The following is a 22,626-nucleotide window of genomic DNA, read 5'->3' as shown; positions in this document are numbered from 1 at the left end:
GAGCCTTGCTCTTGTACATATTAAAGTTGATAATAAAGATACAGCAATTAGGCTGGGTGTGGTGGCTCACGCCTGTAATCCTAGAGCTTTAGGAGGCTGAGGCAGGTGGACCACCTGAGGTCAGGGGTTAAAGACCAGCCTGGTGAAACCCCCTCTACTAAAAATACAAAAATTAGCCGGGCATGGTGGCACCTGTAATCCCAGCTACTTGGGAGGCAGAGGCAGGAGAATCACTTGAACCTGGGAAGCAGAGGTTGCAGTGTGCTGAGATCGCGCCACGCACTCCAGCTTGGGCGATACGAGCAAAATTCCATCTAAAAAAAAAAAAAAAAGTACAGCAATTAAAACATTGTGGCACTTGTGTAAGAATGTATAGGTCAATAAAAACAGAATAGATATCCCTGAAAGAGACCTTGTTATGTATTAAAATTTAATTTATAATAGAGGAAGCATACTAAACAACTGGGGAGAAAAATGATTTATTCATTTGAAGGTCAGGGAAAAACTAATGTTTGAAAGGAGCTTCGCTTCACACCATTTCACAAATTTCAGGATTAAAGAGTTAAATATAAAAACGTAAACCATAAAAACTAAAACGAAATGTGGATGAATATTTAAATCACTGGTTCAGTGTTTATGGACAAACTATTTCATCTCTTTCCTTAGTTTCTTTCTCAATTGTAAGAAGACAATAAAAAATACATACCTCGTAGGGTTTTTGTGATTAAATAAGGGACTTAGCTTATTGCCTGACACATAATCAGCCCTCAATACATGTTAGCTGTTACTGTAATTATTACTATTTAATAATTATGGGGATGGAATCTCTTACCATAAAAATAATAGAGGAAATATCAGAAGATTGGTAGATCTGATTATGTGAAAATAATCACTTTTATATATTAAAAAATATAAAAGGCAAGGAACGGTGGGGAAAATGTTTGCAAACATGGCCAAGAACTAATATTCTTAATATATAAAGGGTATTTAAAAATCAATAAGTAAAGCACTAATATCCCAATAGAAAATGGTGGGAAGAAGGATTGAATAAACATTTCTGAGAATAAACATATTTCAAAAGCTCAACTGTTACTAATCAAACAGATGCAAATGAAAACAATATGAGAAAGCTGTTTTGTTGCTACTTGGTCATTTTTTAGTGACCACACTCAAGTAGCATATTGAGACAGGTACTCTCATCCCCTGGTGAAGGATCTACTATGCCCTATTCAGAAAACTATCACTATGTGCCCAGAGTCTTAAAACCATCATATCCTATGAGTCAACACTTCCACATTTCAGGAATCCATTTTGAGAAAATATCAGACAATGCTAGTCACCATTTTTTTTCTAATTCCTTTATACAAAAAACAAGAAAGAAAGAAAATAAATTAAGTGCTCATCTCAAGAAACTAGAAGAACGTTAGAAAAATCCAAACAAAGTAGATGAAAGGAATTATGCAGAAGAGTGTTTTAAATTTTCCAAGTGGCCAAATTTTTTTTCAGGGCTTCTTATTGTAAATTTTAGCTTTATTGCCATATGGTCAGAGAAGCAGGGGCTATGTGATTTCTGCCTTTTGGGCTTTATCGGAATTTTTCTTTGTGGCCAATTAACAACTTTTTATAAATGTACCATGGGTGTTGAAAAATTAAATATTCCATTTTATGTGTACAAAATGCCATTTATTTATATATAACAAGTTTACTGTTATCTATTTCATATTCTCATTTACTTTTTGCCTGTGATTTATGAACTTCTAAAGTGTGTTAGTATCTTCAACTATGCGTTTTTAAATTCTTCTATATTTCTAATAGCTTTCGCTTTATATACTTTGATAGAACGTTTTTCAGTGCATAAAGTTGCATGATTATTGCATCTTCTAGGTACATTGAACTTTGCAATGGTATAAATTGACAATGCATTCTTTTTAATATTTTAAACTTGAATTTCTAATCTGCCTAATATTAATATTGTCAATTCTGTTTCCTTTTTTTCTTTTCTTCCTTTTTTTTTTTTATTTAAGAGACGGGTTCTTGCTCTGTTGTCTAGGAGTGCAGCTCAAGCTACCCTCCCGCATCAGCCTCCTGAACAGCTGGGACTACAAGTGCACACCACCATACCTGGTTTATCTTTTACGAATTTTTTTCAGATGGGGGTCTCACCATGTTGCCCAGGCTGGTCTCGAACTCCTGGCCTCAAGCCATCCTCCTGCCTCAGCCCCCTAAGCTCTGGGATCACTAGTGTGAGCCACCACACCCGGCCAATTCTGTTTCTTTTGATTAGCATTTGCTCACTGTATCCAGCCCATCCCTTATTTTCAACTTTCCTGTGTTGTTTTATTTTAGTTATGTCTCTTGTTGACGCATAAAACTGGCCTTTTTTTCTTCAGGTTTCACTGAGTTTGGGATCTGTTCTTTAATAGGGGATTTCCTAAATCCCATGATTATATATTGTGTGTAGCATCTCCTGTTTTTTTCTCTCCTAGCCTTTGCTGATCATCTTTTCTTCCCCCAGAATGTGATTTGCAAGTTCTAAGTCCTATTTTCCTCTAGTCTAATAATGAGTAGCACTAATTTTTAAAAGCTGAGATGATATACATGGTTTAATATGCAAAATTACACTAATCCTAAGCACAAAGCTTGAAGAATTTGTACATATGCATATACTTGTGTAACAACCACTCGGAGATCCAGAACATCTCCCAGTACTCCATAAGGCATCTTCACTCTCCTCCAGAGGGGCCACTACAACTCTGATCATCAGCATTTGTTTTGCCTGTCCTTGAACTTCATAAAAATATATGTATTCTTTTATATCTGGCTTCTTTGACAGAATTCTTTAAGACTCATTCATGCAGACCCATTGACCAGTAATTCATTCTTTTTTCTTCTTATGTAATATTTCCTTTTGTATGTGTTTCATAAACCACCCACTTTTCTGTTGATGGGACACTTCCCCCCAGGTTTTGGCTCATTTATTTATTTATTTAGAGTTGGAATCTCACTCTGTCACCCAGGCTGGAGTGCAGTGGCACGATGTCAGCTCACTGCAACCTCCACCTCCCAGGTTCAAGCGATTATCCTGCCTCAGCCTCCGGAGTAGCAGGGAATTACAGGTATGCACCACAACACCCAGTTAATTTTTGTACTTTTAGTAGAGATGGGGTTTCACCATGTTAACCAGGCTGGTCTTGAACTCCTGATCTCAAGTGATCTGCCCACCTCAGCCTCCCAAAGTGCTGGGATTACAGGCGTGAGCTACCGCACCCAGCCTTGGCTGTTTTAAATAAAGCTGTTATATACATTCTTCTACATGTCTTTTTATGGATAGATCCACCCATTTCTCTTGGGTTTATGTCTAATAATGGAATTGCTAGGTCATAAAACAAGCATGTACTTAACTTGAGTAGAAAGTGCCAGCTTTTTAAAGGCAGCTACACTCATCATCAATGCATGAGGGTTACTGCTGCTCCACATTCTTGACAACATTTGCTATTCTCAGCCTTTTAAATTTTCGCCATTCTAATGGGTGTGTATAATGGTGACTTGCTGTGGTTTAAGCTACATTACCCTGATGAGGAAGGATATTAGGCATCTTTTTATATGATTATTAACGCTCTGGAAATGCTCCTTAATAAAGTAAATATTTGAGTCTTTTGTACACCCTTTTTTAAGAGAGACGGGATCTTACTATGCTGCCCAGTCTGGTCTCAAACAATCCTCCGCTTTGGCCTCCCAAAGTGCTGAGATTACAGGTGTGAGCTACTGCGCCCAGCCTGTATACTTTCAAAAAGCCTGTACACTTTAAAAATTAGGTTATGTGGCTTTTTCTTACTGATTTGTAGGAGTTCTCTATATATTAGATACAAGACCTCCGTCAGATGAATAAAATATATAGTTACGCGCCACATGATATTTCAGTTAACGATGGACTGCACATGCGATGGTAGTCCCATAAGATTATAGTAAAGCTGAAAAATTCCCATTGTTTAGTGCTGTCACAGCCATCATAATGTTGTAGCACAATTCATTACCTTTTTTCTGTGCTCAGAAACACAAATATGTACCATTGTGTTACAATTGCCTACAGTATCCTTTTCAGTAACATGCTGTATAGCTTTGTAGTCTGGGAGCAATAGGCTATACCTGATAGCCTAAGTATGCAGTAGGTTATACCCTCCAGGTCTGTGTAGGTACAGTCTATAACATTTGTACAATGAAATTGTCTAATGACACGTTTCTTAGAACATATCTCTGGCCAGGCGCGGTAGCTCACGCCTGTAATCCCAGCACTCTGGGAGGCTGAGGAGAGCGGATCACGAGGTCAGGAGATCGAGACCATCCTGGCTAACACAGTGAAACCCCATCTGTACTAAAAATACAAAAAATTAGCTGGGCGTGGTGGGGGGGGCGCCTATAGTCCCAGCTACTCGGGAGGCTAAGACAGGAGAATGGTGTGAACCCAGGAGGCAGAGCTTGCAGTGAGCTGAGATTGCGCCACCGCACTCCAGCCTGGGTGACAGCAAGACTCCGTCTCAAAATAAAAATAAAAAAGAACGTATCTCTGTCATCCAGTGACACATGACTGTATTATGAATATCTTCTCTATGGCTTGTCCCTTTGCCTTCTTTCAGTTTTCATGAATAGAAGTGCTTGATTTTGATGTAGCATCCTTTTTGTTCTATGGTTAGTAGGCTTTGTGACCTAATTAAGAAATCTTTGCCTAATCCAAGCTCATGGAGACATCCTCCTGCATTTTTCTTGTGCTTTATAGATTTATCCTCCTTACTTGTATAAGTTTAAGGTAAGGGTATGATTACTCCAGCACAATCTTTTGGAGTACTGGCATATCCTGTTAATTTATTTATTCATCAACATGTAATTATTGAGACCTTACTATGTCAGACGTCAGGGAGATAGGTCAGTAAACAAGATACCACTTTTGCCATGTAATCTAGTAAGCAGTTTAACAAGTTAGATCTGTCAGCCCTTTAATTTCAGGAAATTCTCAATCTGAGGAAAGAGCTGAGTAAAATCTCTAACTTGTGTCCAGTATCTGGCAATCTGATTGTACTACATAAACTGGAAGCTCCGTGTTCTGTTTCCATTTTTCCAGATATCCTACAAACTGATGATGGTTGAAGGGAAGATTATGAAAACTCCCTCCCTTTATTTTTTCTGATTATGAACATTCAAAAACTGAAAATTTTTAAATTATGGCAAAATAAACATCACATAAAATGTCCCATCTTAGCCACTGCTTTTTTGTTTTGTTTTGTTTTTGAGACAGAGCCTCACTCTGTTGCCCGGGCTGGAGTGCAGTGGCACAATCACGGCTCCCTGCAACCTCAGCCTCCCAGGTTCCAGCGATTCTCCTGCCTCAGCCTCTCGAGTAGCTGGGAATACAGGCGCCCACCACCACACCCAGCTAATTTTTGTATTTTTAGTAGAGATGGGGTTTCATCCTGTTGCCCAGGCTGGTCTCGAACTCCTAAGCTCAAGTGATCCGCCCGCCTCGGCCTCCCAAAGTGCTGGGATTCTAGGCATGAGGCACTGTGCCCGGCCCATCTTAGCCATTTTTAATGTATGGTTCAGCAATATTAAGTACATTCACACTGTTCCAACCATCACCACCATCCATCTCTAGAACTCTTCATCTTGCAAAACTGAAACTCTGTACCCATCATAAACAAGAAAACCCTATATCCCACCCCCACCCCCTGGTAAATACCATATGACATTCTTTAGAAACACATTTTTTTTTAATACAGAAAAGCTTAAAGGCACCAGAAGTGAAAAGTAACACACATTTCCACCATCCAGAAGCAACTGGTGTTAATATCTGGAACATAAAATGGAATCACATCTTAGCTGAAAATTAGATTCTAAAGTTGTGTACAAAGTGAAAATTGTGTATGTCAAAACAACTGTTGAAGGCCGGGCACAGTGGCTCACACCTGTAATCCTAACACTTTGGGAGGCCGAGGTGGGAGGACTGCCTGAGCCCAGATGTTCGAGACCCACCTGGGCAACATGGCAAAATCCCGTCTCTACAAAAAAAAAAAAAAAAAAAAAACTAGCCAGGCGTGGTGGCGTGTGCCTGTACTTCCAACTATTTGGGAGGCTAAGGTGAGAGGATTACCTGAGCCTGGGGAGGTCAAGACTGCAGTGAGCTGTGATCACGCCACTGCACTCCAGCCTGGGCAACAGAGTAAGATACCATCTCAAAAAAAAAAAAAAAAACCCTGTTGACATTTTCTCTAAAGAAACTTCCAGTTAGACATAGCAGCTTGAACACATACTTCTGGTTGATTTTTGTCATCTTACACTTACATGTTAGGAAGGACTCATGCCCACAGATGCTCCAATCAGTTTCTTATGGCCTCTGTCATAAATACTGGATAGCCAAAGATCACCAGACATTTGAGGGAAAATGGAAAACTTAACAATGAAAAAACAGAGCCAGGTGCAGTGGCTCATGCCTGTAATCCCAGCACTTTGAGAGGCTGAGGCGGGCGGATCACAAGGTCAAGAGATCGAAGACCATCCTGGCCAACATGGTGAAACCCCATCTCTACTAAAAATACAAAAATTAGCTGGGCGTGTTGGCGTGCACCTGTAGTCCCAGCTACTCAGGAGGCTGAGGCAGGAGAATCGCTTGAACACGGGAGGTGGAGATTGCAGTGAGCCAAGATCGCACCACTGCACTCCAGCCTGGCGACAGAGCAAGACCACGTCTCAAAAAAGAAAATGAAAAACAGCCATCCAAAAACAAACAAAAAAGCTTGGAAGAAACAGAAATTAATTATCAGAGGAAAAGAAGTAATGTTGCATCAATGAAACAAGAATGGAATGTGGGGGAAAAAAGGGAACACACACAGAAAAGAAAGAACTCTCATAAACACCTGAGAGCAGAAAATCATTCAATACCCAGGAAAAACATTGGAAAAAAAAATTATTAGAAGACAAACTATTAGAAGAAATTACATATAAAGTAGGGCAAAAAAGATAAAAGATAGGAAAGAAAATATATTTTCTTAAATACTTGAGGGTCAAGCCAGGACATCTACCATCCAACTATCGAGGTTCTAAAAAAACAATATACAACACAAAGGAGAGGAAATTATTAAAGAAATAATACAAGAAGATTTCACATTAAAAGACCCTCTCATGTACATCACTGTGAAATTTCAGAATATGTAGAATAAAGACAAGCGGTAAAGCTTTCAGAGGGAAATAAACAGCTTGTATAGAAAGGATCAGGAATCAGAATGACCTCAGACTTTTCAGCAGCAACACAGAAAGGTAGAAAACAATGGAAAATGTCCTCAAGATTCTAATAAAAAATCATTTCCAACCTAGAATTCTAAACCCAGCCAACCTAAAGATGAAATCATGAAGGCACATTAAAGATGTTTTCAGATACTGGATCTAAAAAAGCTGCTTACCTCCCATGCACACCTTCTCAGGAAGCTACTGGAGGATCTGTTCTACCAACCCAAAGAAGCAATCCAAGAAAGACCACATGGAAGTTGGAAGACAGGAACTCAACCACAGGATAGAGAAAAGGGTCTTCCCAGAGTCATCGGGAAAGGCTGACAACTGGGGAACAGGTCTAGAGAGCGCAGTCCAGACTGCAGTGGGAGGGCGGGCAGAGGGCTCCAGAAATGGCACCAAGAAAACAGTAAGTTGCCTGATGTCTTTGATGGTGCCGAGGGGAATTTTACAGCTTGAGCTGAGTGAGGATTAATCAGTGATAAGTACACAGCTAAGCAATCTGCCCCATCCCCAAATAGAGTCCATTAACTCTATGAAAAAAAAATTTTACAAAAGAGAAAGCACAACTATCACATACTTCATGGCTCACTTGTAAAAAATAGTTACATACTTTTCACATTTATTATAATTAGTATTCATGATTTTACTAAAGCATGAATATTGCTTTAGTACTATAATGCTTAGAATTTGATATTTATAATATTAGCACTGTTTATATTTAATGCATCCAATACTACGAAAATAAACTAGATCTCCATCAATCTCTACTTCAAAGCCAGGCACAGTGGCTCATGCCTGTAAATCCCAGCACTTTGGGAGGCCAAGGTGGGCAGATCACTTGAGGTCAGGAGTTCGAGACCAGCCTGGCCAATGTGGTGAAACCCCATCTCTACAAAAAATACAAAAATTAGCAAGGTGTGGTGACGTGCATCTGTAATCCCAGCTACTTGGGAGGCTGAGGTATGAGAATCACTTGAACCCAGGAGGCGGAGGTTGCAGTGAGCCGAGATCACGCCACTGCACTCCAGCCAGGGCAACAGAGTGAGACTCTGTCTCAAAAACAAAACAAAACAAAACAAAAAACACTCTACCTTAATTTTTCCAAATATCCTCAAATTCATGATGTCTGAGGGCATGAACACAAAGGCATGAACAAATTCATCATCTCTGAGGGCTTGAACACATACTTACGGCTATTCTGCTAACTGCTGGATAAAATAATGGCACAAAGAATCTAGCACATTTAAAAAATACTACACTACAACTGGCTGGAATTCATATTAATAATATAATAATGATTCACTGTTATCTATTAATATACTTTATCATATTAGATCAAAAGACAATAATTATATGATTATTTCTGTAAGTGATAAAGGACATTAGATATAATTCGATATCCATTCTTAGTAAAAACTCTAATACAATAAGAATACAAGAATACTTCCTGAATATGATTATCTGTTAGTGGGAGTGGGGGGGGGGGGGGGAAGAGTATCTACTTGTGTATATGTGTGTCACTCTCCAAAGCTGACATCATCTTTTATTAAAAAGATATAAAAGCATATTATTTAAAATCAGAAACACATCATACGTTCACAATCATCAGTTTTATTTATCACTGTTCTGGAGGTATTTGCTGATGCAACTGGACAAGAAAAGTAGTAATAGATATAAGCAACGGAAAAGAAGAGGGGAGAGTGTTATTTACATATAGCACCTGGAAAAACTGACATGAATTAACGTACCATAAACAATATAAGTATCTAGCTAGGTGTCAACATTCAAAATCAGTATGTAAAAACTGCCTTCAAATTAAAGAACTGGCTGAAAGACATAATGAAAGAATACATCCCATTCAAAGTAGTAACGAAAAAGATACATGGCTGGGTGCAGTGGCTCATGCCTGTAATCCCATACTTCGTGATGCTGAGGCAGGAGGATCACTTGAGCCCAGGAGTTTGCGACCAGCCTGGGCAACATAGTGAGACCCCGTCTCTACAAAAAATAAGAAAATTAGGCCAGGTACAGTGGCTCACACCTGTAATGTCAGCACTTTGAGAGGATGAGGCAGGCGGATCACTTGAGGTCAGGAGTTCAAGACCAGCCTGGTCAACATGGCGAAACCCCGTCTCTACTAAAAATACAAAAATTAGCCCGGCGTGGTGGTGCATGCGTGTAATCCCAGCCACTTGGGAGGCAGAGGCAGGAGAACCACTTCAGTCTCCTGAGGTGGAGGGTGCAGTGAGCCGAGATCATGCCACTGCCCTCCAATCTGGGTGACACAGCAAGACTGTCTAAAAAAAAATCTTTATTTTTCATTTTTTACTGGGCAAGCTAATTTTGAAAATTATATAGAAATAAGAATAGCCAAGAAAATTCCAAATAATTGAAAAAATGCTGAGGCAAAATTAATTTTAACAGATAATAAAACATGTAAGATAGTGTGACATTGGACACAAAGAAACATTTCAAGTGAACAGAGTACGTCCAGATATATACAGGAAGTTAACATAGGATAAAGCTTCATTGCAAATCAATGGAGAAAAACTGCAGAGATGGGAAACTACAGCCAGGGAGACAAATTTAGCCCATTGTCTATTTTTGGATGGCCTGCAAGCTAAGAATGGTTTTTACATTTTTTTAAAGTTAGGAGGCAAAAAAAGAATTTAATGATACATGAAAATTAGATGAAATTCAAATTTCAGTGTCCATAAATAAAGTTTTATTTCTCATTAGTTTATACACTGTCAACGGCTGCTTTTGTGCTACCACAGTGGCGATGAGTAGTGTTCAGAGACCATACAAATTGCAAAACCTTAAAGTATTTACTATCTGGCTCTTTACAGAAAAAGTGTGTCAACCCTTGCAATAATGGATGCTGGATTATTTTATTAGCTGGAAAAAACTGAACTTGAATCCTTATACTCTATACACTGAAATAAATTCCTGATTACTTAAAAAAAAACAACTTGAGGTTTAAAAAATAATACTGGTGGCCAGGAGCGGTGGCTCACGTCTGTAATCCCAGCACTTTGGGAGGCCGAGGCGGGCGGATCACCTGAGGTCGGGAGTTTGAGATCAGCCTGACCAACATGAAGAAACCCCGTCTCTACTAAAAAACAAAACAAAACAAAACAAACAAACAAACAAAAAAATTAGCCAGGCATGATGGCACATGCCTGTAATCCTAGCTACTCGGGAGGCTGAGGTAGGAGAATCCCTTGAACTCAAGAGGCGGAGGTTGCAGAGAGTCAAGATCATGCCATTGCACTCCAACCTGGGCAACAAGAGTGAAATTCCACGTCAAAAAAAAAAAAGGAAGTCATAAAAGAAATGATAGATAAATAAAAAAATTCTGCCTGGACAAAAGCATCATAAACAAAGTCAAGACAAATTTCAAACTAATAGCATATATTTGTAACACAAATCCCAGACATGGGGCTATTTTCCTTAGTATATAAAATTATAAATCAATTTTAAAACATTAATCTCCTAATCCCAAGAAAGGGTAAAATACCTGAATAGTCAATTTGTAGATACGGAAATAAAAATGGCTCTTAAGTTCAAAAGAGAAATTCAACTCAAAACAGCACTGAGAGGCTTTCTGCATCTAACCAAGATGAAATAGCTTGTAAAAGTTCAACAATACTGCTGAGAACAACTGAAAAACAAACTGATTGAAAGTACTGGGGAGCTGCCAAGGCAACCAAGACTTGAGAGTCCAAGATCTCAGTGAGAAGGGAACTGCAGAAAGGTGAGCAAATACCCTATAAGATGCTGAGGCAGAGCTTTTGTCCATCTTCAGATGGACTAGAGAGATGTAAGTAAATAGACAGACATGTAAATAAATAAACAAATGGAGTTCACAAAGCAGAACTCCTGGGCTTAAGAGATCTTCCCACCTCAGCCTCCCAAGTAGCTGGGACTACAGGCATGTGCTACCACACCCATCTAATTTTTGTGTTTTTTTGTAGCAATGAGGTCGCCCAGGCTGGTCTCAAACTCCTAGCCTCAAGCAATCCTCCTGCCTCAGCCTCCCAAGTAGCTGGGATTACAGGCTCAAGCCATTGCACTCAGTTACAATTTTTAAATTGAGTAAGGCTAGAGCTTAAGATCCAAAGTTGAGAATATAAAATTATAAATCCATTTTAAAACATTAATCTCCTAATCCTAAGAAAGGGTAAAATACATGAATAGTCAATTTGTAGATATGGAAATAAAAATGGCTCTTAAGTTCAAAAGAGAAATTCAAATCAAAACAGCATTGAGAGGCTTTCTGCGTCTAACTGAGATGAAATAGCTTGTAAAAGTTCAACAGCAGTAAACAAAAATTAGGGTTCACCCCACCAAGGAAAAGGAGCCATGAAGAACTTTAGGTTCTTTGTTGGGACCCATAGAGGGCTATACCCTAGGAACATGGATTGACCAGGGGAAGACAGACTTATTTTCTAAAACCCTGCAACCTGACTCAGGCCAAATCCTGATTGATCAAGGTCATAAGTCCCACTTTACACAAGCATAAAGTAAACTTCAGAGGAAAATAGTATCTTTCAGAGCTTCTCAATTATTCACTGTCATGCAATAAAATATTTTAAGATATACAAAAAAAGGCTGGGCGCAGTGGCTCATGCCTGTAATCCCAGCACTTTGGGAGGCCGAGGCGGGCAGATCACGAGGTCAGGAGTTCGAGACCAGCCTGGCCAATGTGGTGAAACCTCGTCTCTACTAAAAATATAAAAATTAGTCGGGTGTGGTGGTGCACACCTGTAGTCCCAACTACTTGGGAGGCTGAGGCAGAAGAATCACTTGAACCTGGGAGGCAGAGGTTGCAGTGAGCTGAGATCGTGCCACTGCACTCCAGCCTGGGTGACAGAGTAAGACTCCGTCTCAAAAAAAAAAAAAAAAAGATATACAAAAAATAGGACCAAGTGGGGGAAAATGAATTTAAAAAACCCAAACTCATAGATAGCCCAGTGTTAAAATTTATCAAAGACTTTAAAAGAACTAATTAATATATTCAATGAAACAGGTGACAAAACAGAGAAGTTTACTAGAAAACTAAACTTAAAAGGCATCAGGTTAGGCATAGTGGCCCATGCCTATAATCTCAGGACTTTGAGAGGCCAAGGCAGGTGGCATCACTTGAGCTCAGGAATTTGAGACCAGCCTTGGCAACATGGCAAGGCCCTGTCTCTACAAAAAAAAAAAAAAAAAAGAAAGAAAAAGAAAAATCAGGCCAGGTGTGGTTGCTCACACCTGTAGTCCCAGTTACTTGGGAGACTAAGGTAGGAGGATGGCTTGAGCCTTGATTGTGCCACCACACTCCAGTCTGGGCAAGAGAGTGAGACAGTGAAATCTTTGTCTCAAAAAAAAAAAAAAATCAAATGCAAACAAGGTAATTGTAAAATGCAATAATTGAAATTAAGAGCTCAACAGACAGGTTTAACAGCAAACTGGATATAGCAGAAGAAAGGGTTAGTAAACTGAAAGATCAGTAAAGAAAAAGAAAAGCGGATGGACAATGTAGAACAGAGCAAAAGACATAAAGAACATGGAAAGAAGGTCTAACACAATTACAACTGGAGTCCAGGAAAGAAGAGAATGAGAACAAGACAGAACAATATTAAGAGAGAATAATTAATAATTTTGTAAAACTAACAAGGCAATCAGGCCGAATATTCAAAGATTCTATGTTACATAGGATAACTACAAAGAAAACCACCTCAGGAACATCACATAGGAAAACTACTTTTGAAAAAAACACCAAAGATTGAGAAAAAAATCTAAAAGCTGCCAGAAGATAAAAACATGTTTCACCTTCTTCAAAGGAGCAATAACAAGACTGAAAGATGACAATAGAAGCCAGAAAATAATGAAATAACTTTTTTTTTTTCTTTTTTGAGACCGAGTCTTGCTCTGTCGCCAGGCTGTAGTGCAGTGGCGTGATGTTGGCTCACTGCAAGCCCCGCCTCCTGGGTTCACGCCATTCTCCTGCCTCAGCCTCCCGAGTAGCTGGAACTACAGGCACCCGCCACCATGCCCGGCTAATTTTTTGCATTTTTAGTAGAGACGGGGTTTCACCGTGGTCTCAATCTCCTGACCTCGTGATACACCCGCCTCGGCCTCCCAAGGTGCTGGGATTACAGGTGTGAGCCACTGCGCCCGGCCCAACTTTTTTATTTTTTGAGACGGAGTTTCGCTCTTGTTGCCCAGGCTGGAGTGCAATGGCACGATCTCGGCTCACAGCAACCTCCGCCTCCCGGGTTCAAGGGATTCTCCGGCCTCCGCCTCCGGAGTAGCTGACAGGCATGTGCCACTATGCCCAGCACATGCCTGGCATACAAATACAAAAATGCAAAAATTTTGTATTTTTAGTAGAGATGGGGTTTCTTCATGTTGGTCAGGCTGGTCTCAAACTCCCATCTTCAGATGATCCGCCTGCCTCGGCCTCCCAAAGTGCTGGGATTACAGGCGTGAGCAACCGCGCCCGGCCTGAAATAACATTTTTAAAGTGTGGAAATAACTGCCAATCTAGAGTTCTATACCAGCAAGAATACATTTCAATAGTAAGAGGATTAGAAAATCACCATTCAGCGGCCAGGCGCCGTGGCTCACGCCTGTAATCCCAACACTTTGGGAGGCCAAGGTCAGTGGATCGCAAGGTCAGGAGTTCGAGACCAGCCTGACCAACATGGTGAAACCCCGCCTCTACCAAAAAAAAAAAAAAAAAAATTAGCCAGGCATGGTGGTGTGCACCTGTAATCCCAGCTACTCAGGAGGCTGAGGCAGGAGAATTGCTTGAACCCGGGAGATGGAGGTTGCAGTGAGCCGAGATCATGCCATTGCACTCCACCCTGGGCGACAGAGAGAGACTCTGTCTCTAAAAAAAAAGAAAAGAAAGAAAGAAAAAAAGAAAATCACCATTCAGCAATCCTCATAATAACTGATATGAAGATTCAGCAATCTTCATAATAATTGATTCAGTGAGGAATCATTAGCAATGTTCATGAAGCTGATAAAAACAGGCTACTCATATAGTGTCGAAGGATCGAAGTATCTCCTCAGAAGGTACTTATTAATTATAAAGGGAAAAAATATAACTCTGCAGTGGAGAAACTTGGCAGATACCACTTCAACCAACAGATCAAAGTGAAATCACAGAACAAATCAAAATCAATGTCCTTTTATGATGCCGGAAAGACACAATACCACTCCTGTGTATTCTTACCAAAAATGCACAAATGAAATCTAGTCATGAGGAAACATCAGATAAATCCAAATTAAGTACAGTGTACAAAACTGGCCTCTATCCTACAAAAATGTCAAGGTAATAAAAGACAAAGGAAGACTGCAGGACATTGTTCCAAATTAAGGGGGGTAAAGAGATAGGACAATCATGCAACTCACGATCATGGATTAGATGGTGGGCTAGAAAAAAATCTTTTTCTTTTTCTATAAAGGGCATTATTAGGACAACTGACTAAATTTGAATATGGTCTGTACATCTGATCATAGAATTGTATAGTTATCTTCTTGATTTTGATACATACACATGTGTTGGGGGTGGGTGGAGAAAAGAAGACAAGAAAAGAGAGAAAAAGAAAAAGAGCTGGGCCTCATGACTCATGCCTGTAATCCCAGCTACTGGGGCAGCAGGGGGCAGTGCGCAGGGGAGATGAAGGGATTGCTAAAGACCAGGAGTTCAAGACCAGCCTGGGCAACACAGTAAGACCTTGTCTCTAAAAAATAAAATAAAATAAAAAATTATTCTTAAATTAGCCAGGCGCAGTGGCATACACCTATAATCCTAGCTATTCGGGAGGCTGAGGCAGGAAGATAGCCAGAGTGAGACCTTGTCTCGGGTAAAAAGGAAGAAAAATGACAATAATAGATTATAGCACTCTGAACTAAAGAGTACATAATAACACTCAAATGAAAGTGAGAAGAGAAAGAAACAGAAGAGGAAAGAGGAGAGAGCTCTTTACAGAAAAATAATAGGTAATAAATGAGTAATAATACAGTTACATAATCACAACTGTTAAAGTTCCAGAGAAACAGTCAGTTGAAACAAGAATCTCCAATGGATACTAAAACCACTGAATGAAAGGCTGTTGAGTAACCAGATAACATGATCTCAAAGAAGCACTTCTCAGATTACTTGTTAATTACAAAAGGGAAAATGTACCTTTAATATGGAGAGTTCTGGTAGTCACCTCATTAACCAATCAAATTAGCATCACCAATACTGGAAGAATCTGATCTTTCTCACCTTTTATTGTAATGCAATAATAAGCACACAACATTACTTACTAACTGTTCTTGCCAAAAATGTTTAATCTTAATCTTATCAAGAGGAAACAATGAGACAAATGCAGAATGTGTGATATTATATAAAACAATTGATTGGAACTCCTCAAAAAATGTTAATGACAAGTAAAATGAGAAGAGACAAGAGGGCAGTTCTAGATAAAGAGACATGGCAGTGAAATGCACAGCACAAGCCCCGACTGTCCCCTGAATCTGAGATACAAAAGAAATGTGGGGGCAACTGGGAAAATGTAAATATGGGATATATAGCAGATGATCTTATGGAATTAGTGTTAATTTTCTTCTATGTGGTAACATGGTGTGGTTATGTGTGGAAGAATGGCCGTATCTGAGGAGGTATATGCTGAAGTAATTACAGGTGAAGTGTCATGATATCTACAATTTATTTTCACATGGTCAGATTAGGGTTTGTGTGTGTGTATATGTGTGTGTGTAGAGAGTGAGACAAAGTAAAAGTGGCAAAATGGGCCAGGCACAGTGGCTTACCCCTGTAATCTCGGCACTTTGGGAGGCCGAGGGCAGGCGAATCACAAGGTCAGGAGTTCGAGACCAGCCTGGCCAATATGGTGAAACCCCGCCTCTACTAAAAATACAAAAATTAGCTGGGCGTGGTGGTGTGCGCCTATAATCCCAGCTACTTGGGAGGCTAAGGCAGGAGAATTGCTTGAACCTGGGAGGCAGAGGTTGCAGTGAGCCAAGATTGCACCACTGCACTCCAACCTGGGCGACAGAGCAAGACTCCGTCTCAAAAAAAAAAAAAAAAAGGTGGCAAAATGTTAACAACTAAGAAACTGAATAAAAGGTATCTGGGAGGCTGGGCATGGTGGCTCATGTCTGTGATCCCAACACTTTGGGAGGTTGAGGCAGGCAGATCACCTGAGGTCAGAAGTTTGAGACCAGCCTGGGCAACATGGCGAAACCCCATCTCTACCAAAAAACAAAGAAACAAAAAATTAGCTGGGTCTGGTGGTGCACACCTGTGGTCCCAGATGGCACCACTGCACTCCAGCCTGGGTGACAGAGTGAGACCCCATCTCCAAAAAAGAAAGAAAGAAAAGGTAATTGGGTGTTCATACGCTATTCCACTTTTCTGGAAATTTGAAGCTGTTAAATATAAAAGATGGAAGGCCGGGCATGGTGGCTCACACCTGTAATCCCAGCACTTTGGGAAGCCCAGGCTGGCAGATCACCTGATGTTGGGAGTTCAAGACCAGTCTGACCAACATGGAGAAACACCGTCTCTACTAAAAATACAAAATTAGCTGGGCATGGTGGCGGGCGCCTGTAATCCCAGCTACTCGGGAGGCTGAGGCAGGAGAATTGCTTGAACCCGGGAGGCAGAGATTGCAGTGAGCCAAGATCGTGCCATTGCATTCCAGCCTGAGCAACAAAAGTGAAACTCCGTCTCAAAAAAAAAAAAAAATAGATGGAAGAAAAAAATCAGATTAGAAAGAATACAAGCAGACAACAGGACTTGATCCTAGGAGCAATGGGAACTACCCAAAGGAGTGCAGGGAAGACACACGCCGAAAGCAGAACTGGAATCTTATCATCTGGCAGCAACGCAGAGTGGACCAGGGGAGGCGAGACTGAAAACGCAAGAACTCAGCCTCGCAGCTCCCCAGGCCTAAGATCATCAAATGACCCCCTGTTCCATCCTTTACCACAATCTGTCTCAGGGTGAGGGCAGCAGCCTGATGACACAGAAGCTGCTGTCAGTTGTCCTCTGAGAGAAGAGAAGTCTCTAGTTCTGTAGAATAAATAATCACTTCTGATGATGTCCTACAGCGTCCATGTTTCATTTACTCTTTCGGCCAAAAACTTGCCCTTTCCACTCAGGCTGTACACCGTTGGGTGGTGGTGGGGGGAGGCTGCCGTGGTGTTGAGAGCTGCAGCAGCCGTGGCAATGGACCGCCAGCCCCCGCACCATCCTCTCCAGGCAGTGGCTTTGTCTCACACAGGGGTCTACTCACTGATCTGTTTGCCAAGGGACTGGGAGTTATTTCCAATGCCTTTCAGCTTTTCCGCTTGACAAAATAGAAATAATGTGTATTTTCTTCTCTAAAATAAGGTGGTTTTCAGCATGTCAAGCCATTTTTGGCCAAAGAATAAATACTGGACCAAATAGGTGAAAAACTAAAAATAAAATAGATGAAAAAGTCCTGCAAAGCAAGGACTTTGAAAAGTCTAGGAATCATCATGGCTATGTCTCTTATATTCCTATGCTCTTCATCTCTAAATTAATGCTTTAAAGAAAAGGGGGTGATTGTACCTCCCAATGTACCTCCTTGTGCACTCATATTTAATTAAAGCTGTTCTAGAAGGGCCAGTCAAAATAATAATAATAAAGTCATACGACATTGGAAAAGGAAAATGTTATTTTCATGTGATATGCTACTGAGAAAACCTAAGAGAACCAACAAAAACAATTAGGACTATTAAAAATAATAAAATAATTCTAAAAACACAGAAATCAACAGCTTTCCTAACTATTGGCAAAGATCAATTAGAAAATATAATGGAAATAAATATCCTAAAGCAAGAAGAATAAATTAAAAATACAGGTACTCAGAATTAAAGGAAATGTGCAGGAACTATGCAAGAACTGTACAAAACCATCAGTGAGGGGCATTACATATTTTACTTGAAAGATACCCCACATCCGTGGATGGAAAGAGTGCATACTGCAAAGACACCAATTCTTTCCAAAGTAATTTCTTTCTTTCTTTTTTTTTTTTTTTTTTTTGAGACAGGGTCTCATTCTGTCGCCCAGACTGGAGTGCAGTGGTGCAATCTCAGCTCACCACAATCTCTGCCTCCCAGGCTCAAGTGATTCTCCTGCCTCAGGCTCCTGAGTAGCTGGGATTACAGGTGTGTACCACCATGCCCAGCTAATTTTTGTATTTTTAGTAGAGAGATGGGGTTTCACTATGTTAGTCAGGCTGGTCTTGAACTCCTAACCTCAAATGATCTACCTGTCTCGGCCTCCCAAAGTGCTGGGATTACAGGCATGAGCCACAGCGTCCAGCTTCCAAAGTAATTTCTATGTTGAATGTAATTATCATCAAAATTTCAAAGGGATCTTCTTTCTTGATTCGCAGTGGGTAGGGGTGGGGTGGGATCAAGAAGAAGATGATAAAAGTGATTCTAAAATGTCTTAAGAAATATACAAGCAGGCCGGGCACGGTGGCTCACACGTGTAATCGCAGCACTTTGGGAAGCCGAGGTGGGCGGATCACCTGAGGTCAGGAGTTCAAGACCAGCCTGACCAACATGAAGAAACCCCATCTCTATTAAAAATACAAAATTTTTATATTTTTGTACAAAAGAGTACAACGAATACTAACAAATACAGTGTGTAACAAATCTATAATAATAAAAACATTGCAGCATTAGCACAACAACAGACAAGTACAGCAATGAATGAGAATAGAATGTCCCTGATCACACATCAGTATATTTAAGAATTTAGCAGATGAAAAAGATGACATGTCAAATCAGTGGGGAAAGAAATAAATCGTTCTATAAATGGTGCTGAGACTATCCAGTTGGTCAACAGGAAAAAATAAAGTTATATTCCCTGTTACGCAACTAGCAACAACACAAATTCCATAAAAGAAAACTAAAATCATTAAAAAAAAAAAAAAAGGTAGGCAAATAGTTCTATGCCCTTGCAGTGGGGGAAGGGTTTTCCATGCTTAGACAAAGGAAGAAACTGTGAACTTGACAATGTGGAAGTTTGAGACTTGTGCTCGGGGCACTGGCCAACTGGTGTTGAGGCTGTAAGCTGAAATCACCTTTTTAAAGCACAGGTTAGCAATGTACATTAAAATGAAAACAAGTCCATTTTCTTTAACCTAGGATTAGCAGCTCTGAGGTTTTTTGCTTTTTGTTTTTGAGACAGAGTCTCACTCTGTTGCCCAGCCTGAAGTGCAGTGGCACGATCTCAGGTCACTGCAAACTCCACCTCCAGGGTTCAAGCAATTCTTCTGCCTCAGCCTCCCGAGCAGCTGGGATTACAGGCGCCCGCCACCACAGCTGGCTATTTTTTGTATTTTTAGTAGAGACGAGGTTTCACCATGTTGGCCAGGCTGGTCTCAAACTCCTGACCTCAAGTGATCCGCCCACCTCGGCCTCCCAAAGTGCTGGGATTACAGGCGTGAGCCATTGCACCCAGCCTAACTCTGAGGTTTTTACCCCACAAAGGTAATCACAAAAGTAATACCTATTTCCCAAGGATACTTAAAGAAGAGTTGCTATAATTGTGTAAAATGAAGATAATCAAGGGGACTGGGTTACAATAAATTATGGCATATATTTTCAGCAGAACACAAGGCAGTTACTAAAATTGATGCTAGAGATCTGTATTGATGGATACCAGTTACATCCAAGACCTAGTATCAAGCAGGGAAAAAAAAAAGAAAGATGAGAGAAGAGGCAAAATCTAAGGTGACTGGCTTTACTTAATGACTTACTCAAATGACTTTAAGGTAAGACTCAACAGTCCCAAGAGAGGCCAAAAGGCAAAGCACTCTAACCTCAGCTTCCAGATTTGTGCCCTCCCTCTGGCCCAAGTCACAGATTCTTCCAGGTGCCTCAGTCTCTCAGTCTATAAAATGGGGATAAAAATCACCAGTGCCATTACCATACTCTCCCCTGTCCCCAGGGTGCTCTGAGGATTAATTAGCTGGTATTTGTGAAGTGTGTTCCTGTACTGAGTTATTACTGAAAAGTTTCCATTAGGCTCATCAGCTCTTTAAAGTTCTTAAGCAAAACTAAAGAAGTTTTGATGAAATGCCCCAAAGACAAGCATGGCTGGTAACAATGAAGCCGTAGAAGAAACAGCCCGGCAACCCTGCCCCCTAACCCTCCACATCAGGCGCAGTGCTCAGGCAGTAAGGCCAAGCCAGAGTTTCATCAGCACTCCCCCAGGATGAGGTCAGCGCACACCGACTGCCTCTGGCCCTCCAAGGGGACGATTATCACACTGTCGCCAGCGTCCCCAGTGCTCCTTATTAGTATAATAGAAACCCTGCACAGAGACCGACAAAGTGCGTGAGAGGAAAAAGAACACGTGCAGATAGGCACCCCCCAACCCAAGTCCCTAATGAGGGGTACAGGGACGGATGTGCATGGATCCTCATCAGCCCCACCCTGTGGAATTCTGATCACAGCTGCCATGCTCTGGGGATATAGGGAGACATGGAGCAGCTTCCAGAGAGGCAGCATGTTCACAGTATCACCAGCTCCAGCCAGGAGTCCAGAAAGACAAAGGTTATGCTGCTGAAGGGGCAGGCAGGACACTGTGAACCCCTGTCATCCCAACCCCTCATCCCAGCAGAGGAGGAGCCCTGCTAACAGCGCTGAGCACTGGCAGACGGTGCCTGCAGAAGGCGGTTTCAGTGGCAGGCCTCTGGGCTGCCCCTTTCGCCTCGTGCTCGGTGGAATGTCCACGCTGGCTCCGCAGTGCCAGCCCACCGAGATGGACTGCTTTGTCCAGCAGTGCCTGCGCCAAGGACATGCTCCAGGATCATTCGGCTTTCTTCCTCCCCTAATGCTTGTGTCTTTCTCTGTATGTCTCATCCTGTCTCTCAAATCTATTCCTGTGTGTCCCAGAGGGCCAGAATGAAGCAAGTTCTGCTGTTATGATGCAACGCCCGGCCACAGGTGAGGCCCGGACTCTTCTGAAAACCTAATGAACGGGCAACAGCAGCTTGTGTGCTTCTTGACAGCACACAGGTGCTGATAAATATCTACCTCCAGGATATTCTTGGTAAACACAGGCACTGCGGCCCCTCACCCTCACGGGTGCATGCACACACACACACACACACACACACTCACACCTTGCCGGCTCTGCTCTCACACCTCAAAAACAAATTATTTAACTATTCTCTTCCCTGAGGATTAGAGCTCTAATTTCAAACACAGAGCTCCCTGGCTTGTCTCTCACATATGCAGCACATTCTGATAGGTTAAACGCTGCGGTTTAATTACTGTAATGAGAGGTGCTTTTTTTGGGTTTCCTCAAACATTCGTTTTTCCCTCCCTTATTTTACATTGAAAATCATTTTTAGCATGTTTTCCTCCGTCATTTTCCCCATCTCTCCCCCCGACTCTGTATGTAGGGAAGAAGGAAGGCTCTTCGAGTGAGTGTCTGAAGAGTCACCAGAAGTGAGTGGGTAACAATACTCAATGTCCAAACCTTTCATTTAAATTTTTTTAATTTAAAATTTGTAAATTAAAAAAAAAGCAGATAGGAGAGGTAAAAGCCCACCAAAGTAGACTGCTACAGTGACTATCCCGGACAGGAATGGTCAGTAAAAAACACAGCAGGTTGGTGTGTTATTGGGGGGTAGGGTCAGTCCTGCAGGTGGTTTTGGGAAGGGATGGGATGTGTTCCCGCGATGGCCAGCATGTGATTTACTGCAGCCCCAGATCAAGAAGAAGGCTGCTTTCCACGGGAAGGCTGGACAAAAGCAGACTGAGGAAGATGCCTCTAGAGAAGCAACTTGCTTTCAGATAGGCTTTATTTTTAAAAGGTGTACAGCCAGCCTGGGAAACATGGCAAAACCCCATCTCTACTAAAACTACAAAAATTAGCTGGGTGTATGGTGGTACGCATCAGTAATCCCAGCTACTCAGGAGGCTGAGATGGGAAGATCACTTGAGCCCCAGGAGATGGAGGTTGCAGTGAGCCAAGATCGCGCCACTGTATTCCAGCCTGGGTGACAGTGTGAGGCTCTGTCTTTAAAAAAAAAAGAAAAAAAAGCATACAGCCTATATGCTTTCAAAGCTGTGGATCATAATTTACCGCCAAACCAGGTCCACCTTCAGCCCCAGGCATGAGATCTGGACTGCACTGTGTGGGCATCTGAAGGCTGCAGTCATTTAAAAGGAAAACCTGACTGCAGCTGCAATGCCAAGAGAGCTCTAAGATCAGGCTGAACCGGCAGAGGAGCAGAAGCTTCAAGAAGCGAAAATGCCCTTCTCCCTGCCTCTTCAAGGTGACCTGGA

The 22,626-nt window shown here is 41.3% G+C and overlaps 1 protein-coding gene across 10 annotated transcripts in view, besides 1 other annotated feature; it reads right to left on the bottom strand.

Moving 5' to 3' along the window:
* The window catches only part of PEX14 (peroxisomal biogenesis factor 14), a 155,809-nt gene that overhangs the window by 53,667 nt on the left and 79,516 nt on the right, over positions 1–22,626 (bottom strand). The gene's annotated exons all lie outside the window — the stretch shown is intronic.
* Positions 20,475–21,136: an enhancer, noted in NCBI's record as "NANOG-H3K27ac-H3K4me1 hESC enhancer chr1:10616013-10616674 (GRCh37/hg19 assembly coordinates)". NCBI's record gives its function as "activates a minimal SCP1, AML or CMV promoter by ChIP-STARR-seq in naive H9 embryonic stem cells {active_cell/tissue: H9 hESC(naive)}" and the evidence as "EXISTENCE:reporter gene assay evidence [ECO:0000049][PMID:30033119]".

This window comes from Homo sapiens, chromosome 1 (genome assembly GCF_000001405.40).
Source record: "Homo sapiens chromosome 1, GRCh38.p14 Primary Assembly".
Classification (NCBI taxonomy): Eukaryota; Metazoa; Chordata; class Mammalia; order Primates; family Hominidae; genus Homo; species Homo sapiens.
This window is presented reverse-complemented; position numbering and strand designations above follow the sequence as displayed.